The sequence below is a fragment of the Homo sapiens genome, chromosome 1, assembly GCF_000001405.40.
Source record: "Homo sapiens chromosome 1, GRCh38.p14 Primary Assembly".
In the NCBI taxonomy this organism is placed as follows: Eukaryota; Metazoa; Chordata; class Mammalia; order Primates; family Hominidae; genus Homo; species Homo sapiens.
Window position 1 is genome coordinate 188833708 of NC_000001.11, and position 4772 is coordinate 188838479.

The 4772-nt window shown below is 37.4% G+C and overlaps 1 annotated feature.

The window, feature by feature from the left end:
- Positions 808–1008: a silencer, noted in NCBI's record as "peak536 fragment used in MPRA reporter construct". NCBI's record gives its function as "represses an SCP1 promoter by STARR-seq MPRAs in K562 erythroleukemia cells {active_cell/tissue: K562}" and the evidence as "EXISTENCE:reporter gene assay evidence [ECO:0000049][PMID:32103011]".

The window sequence follows — 4772 nt, forward strand, 5'->3', positions numbered from 1 at the left end:
ATTATAATTGCTCAGTAACCAGTAAGCTTTTCTTGCTTTCTTTTTTGTCTGAGAGTTCTAGTTATATCTATTAAAATAACCCAAACTTTTAGAATATATTATTTTAATGATACATATGAGATTGGGTATTATAAAGTAGATGCACTTTTAAATGTGAGGATAGGCAAAATCTGTCCAGGGCACTGCTCTTATGAAAAAGGCAAAGGGAAAGACTCTTTACCCACATAATCAATCGGAAGTGTAGGGAATGGACTCAGGTAAAAATTAATTAATGAGAAAGACACATAAAGTTTTGCAGGACTTAAGAAATACACTATATGACTCTGTGGAAGTTTCATCTGTTATTTTCTGCTATGGCTTGAATGTTTGTGTCCCCTCCAAATTTCAGGCTAAACCTGAATCCCCAATGAAACAGTATTAAAAGATGGGGCCTTTAGGAGGTGATTAGGCCATGAGGGCTCCATCGTCATGAGTGAGATTAGTGGCTTTATAAGAGGGCTAGAGGAGGCCGGGCGCGGTGGCTCACGCCTGTAATCCCAGCACTTTGGGAGGCTGAGGTTGGCGGATCAAGAGGTCAGGAGAACCAGACCATCCTGGCTAACACGGTGAAACTCCATCTTTACTAAAAATACAAAAAAATTAGCTGGGCGTGGTGACGGGCGCCTGTAGTCCCAGCTACTCGGGAGGCTGAGGCAGGAGAATGGCGTGAACTCGGGAGGCAGAGCTTGCAGTGAGCCGAGATCACGCCACTGCACTCCAGCCTGGGCGATAGAGGGAGACTTTGTCTCAAAAAAAAAAAAAAAAAAAAAAAAAGGGCTAGAGGAAACTAGATAGTCCAGTTTCCTTTCCACCTTCTGCCTTGTGAGGATGCAGCAACAAGGTGCCTTTGGAAGCGGAGCCTGGGCCTTCACCAGACACCAAAGCTTCCAGTGCCTTATCTTAGACTTTCAGCCTCCATAAGTATGAGAAAAAAATTTATCTTCTTTGCACATTACCCAATCTCAGATATTTGTTATAGAAGCACAAATGCACTAATATACTCTTTTGCTTAACATGCCTTAAGGAATACTAAAAATTCCATTTATCTATTACTAAGTCCTCAAATGTTTACCAAAAGTGTCCAAAAGCCAACTTTACTTAGTTCAATATAAACTTTGTAAACTACAGTTCTTATCCATTTTAGATCCTTGATCAACTATTTAAATTACATTTAAACAATTCCTTATTTATCTTCAGAATACTCATGGTTATCCAATTTCTCATTTTTTGCTTCCCAAGACCTTTTTGTTTTTTTAACAGAAAACCTTTGGATGAAATTACTAATATGTTTACCACAAAGAGGGTGAAAATTTAATTTCTCAGAGGATGATTCCACTCCATCGACAAAACTCAATATTTATATTTGATTACACCGAATAAACTTTGAGGCTAATCATGACAAAAAGTAGCAGAACACTATGAACAATTCATTTCCCTCAGTCATATGTCTGCCTCTTCATTTCTAACAGATAGCAAGAACAATTAATGCGTTAATGAGACCTAGGCAATTTGGCATTAACTTTATTATTGCTAATGGGAATTATTTTTAATATACTGTATTATGCCATTTTAAATCTTCTGCATCTCTTTTCAAACCCAATTTAATTTTTTAAAGCAACCTAAAATAATAACATATAAGCAGAATTACCTTCATTCTATCCAATATATGTCACACTGCTTGCCTCCAATTGTCTTATTTTTACCGTTTTCCTTAATAAGATGATGATGATAATAAAAATGATAATCCTGGTGATGATGACAGTAATAATTACTAATTATTACTACTAATAAAGTTAATTGCCAAATGTCCTGGCATTTCCTCATGCCAGGAAATGTTTAACTTTGTTAAAATAGTAATTATTATAGTAACTAATTTGATCCTCTAACGCTCTGTGATAAATCCTCTTTTTTTGGATGAGGAAAATCAAGCAAAGCAGTGTTATTACTTGTAAAAGATCACACAGAGCAGAGATTCAGACACAGTTACTCTTGCTTTATATTTACCAATATTAGCAAAGAAATTCTAAAATCCACTCTATAGGTATCAATTTTTATCACCTTGTTATGAAATTGCTACCTGAGACATTCTGTCATCATGCCTTCCCTTAGTTAGATATGACTTCTTCCTTCAAACACCCATAAAATGTTATCTCTTTTGTAACACTTAATATAAAACATTTATGTGTTATTCATGATTTACATTATTATCCCCCTCATAATATTCCTAGCCCTTTAATATATGTACATGCATACATGAAATATATATTAAGTTCCTTTGGGTCAGTAACTATAAAAAGTCCCCTTGGGAGCTTACTCATGATTACAGATTTCAGAGCAATAAACAGCAGATGTGACAAGTAGAAAATTAAAGCAGGCACAGATGCTCCATTGTCTGGGAGTACATCATGGTTTCTAGAGCGGATGGTGATAGAAGAAAGGTTTCGCTCTGTATAGATAGGAAGAAGAAGGCATAGGAAGAGTTAAATATGTGGCTGTCAAGAGAGAAATGTGGGCTCTGTTATTTGCTGTAGGACAACAGACCTTGCAGTAACAAACAGACAAGCTCAGGTTTAACATTAAGGACATTTTTCAGGTAGGAGGACTTAAGTCAGCTGTCATTAGTTCAGAGTTCAGAGTCATTACTTAGAAATATAGTTCAGGTAGAACAAGGTCATGAACAGATTTTAAAAGTAGGAAAATAAATAAGGTATTCTCTTCTATAACTAAAGGACTGACAACAAAACAAGGCCTAAACCCAATTACTAGGATCAGAGTATAAGCAGTGTCCCAGTGTCTTTAAGAATGGCCTAGTATTTATTTTTTTCTTTTTTTAAATTATGCTTTAAGTTTTAGGGTATATGTGCACAACGTGCAGGTTTATTACATATGTATACATGTGCCATGTTGGTGTGCTGCACCTATTAACTCGTCATTTATATTAGGTATATCTCCTAATGCTATCCCTCCCTGCTCCCCCCACCCCACAACAGGCCCCGGTGTGTGATGTTCCCCTTCCTGTGTCCCAGTGTTCTCATTTTTCAATTCCCACCTGTGAGTGAGAACACGCAGTGTTTGTTTTTTTGTCCTTGCGAGAGTTTGCTGAGAATGCTGGTTTCCAGATTCACCCATGTCCCTACAAAGGACATGAACTCATCCTTTTTTATGGCTGCATAGTATTCCATGTGTATATGTGCCACATTTTCTCCATCCAGTCTATCACTGATGGACATTTGGGTTGGTTCCAAGTCTTTGCTATTGTGAATAGTGCCGCAATAAACATACATGTGCATGTGTCTTTGTAATCCTTTGGGTATATACCCAGTAATGGGATGGCTGGGTCAAATGGTATTTCTAGTTCTAGATCCTTGAGGAATTGCCACACTGTCTTCCACAATGGTTGAACTAGTTTACAGTCCCACCAACAGTGTAAAAGTGTTCCTATTTCTCCACATCCTCTCCAGCACCTGTTGTTTCCTGACTTTTTAATGATTGCCATTCTAACTGGTGTGAGATGGCATCTCATTGTGCTTTGGATTTGCATTAAGAATGACCTAGTAATTCAACCTGAGATAGTAACCTAGGATTTCTTAATTCCCTCTGAATGATTCAAGGCAACCTCTGGAACCTAGTAGATGGACTGATCCTAGAGCTCTGAATAAAGTCTCATTTGTTTCCCCATTTCTTGTTTTTGTCAGGTTTGTCAAAGATCAGATGGTTATAGATGTGTGGTATTATTTCTGAAGGCTCTGTTCTGTTCCATTGCTCTATATTTCTGTTTTGGTACCAGTACCATGCTGTTTTGGTTACTGTAGCCTTGTAGTATAGTTTGAAGTCAGGTAGCATGATGCCTCCAGCTTTGTTCTTTTGGCTTAGGATTGACTTGACAATGCGGGCTCTTTTTTGGATCCATATGAACTTTAAAGTAGTTTTTTCCAATTCTGTGAAGAAAGTCATTGGTAGCTTGATGGGTATGGCATTGAATCTATAAATAAATGGTGCTGGGAAAACTGGCTAGCCATATGTAGAAAGCTGAAACTGGATCCCTTCCTTACACCTTATACAAAAATTAATTCAACATGGATTAAAGACTTAAATGTTAGACCTAAAACCATAAAAACCCTAGAAGAAAACCTAGGCAATACCATTCAGGACATAGGCATGGGCAAGCAATTCATGTCTAAAACACCAAAAGCAATGGCAACAAAAGCCATAATTGACAACTGGAATCTAATTAAACTAAAGAGCTTCTGCACAGCAAAAGAAACTACCATCAGAGTGAACAGACAACCTACAGAATGGGAGAAAATTTTTGCTATCTACTCATCCAACAGAAGGCTAATATCCAGAATCTACAAAGAACTCAAACAAATTTACAAGAAATAAACAACCCCATCGACAAGTGGGTGAAGGATATGAACAGACACTTCTCAAAAGAAGACATTTAGGCAGCCAAAAGACACATGAAAAAATGCTCATCATCACTAGCCATCAGAGAAATGCAAATCAAAACCACAATGAGATACCATCTCACACCAGTTAGAATGGCAATCATTAAAAAGTCAGGAAACAACAGGTGCTAGAGAAGATGTGGAGAAATAGGAACACTTTTACCATGTTGGTGGGACTGTAAACTAGTTCAACCATTGTGGAAGACAGTGTGGTGATTACTCAGGGATCTAGAACTAGAAATACCATTTGACCCAGCCATCCCATTACTGGGTATATACCCAAAG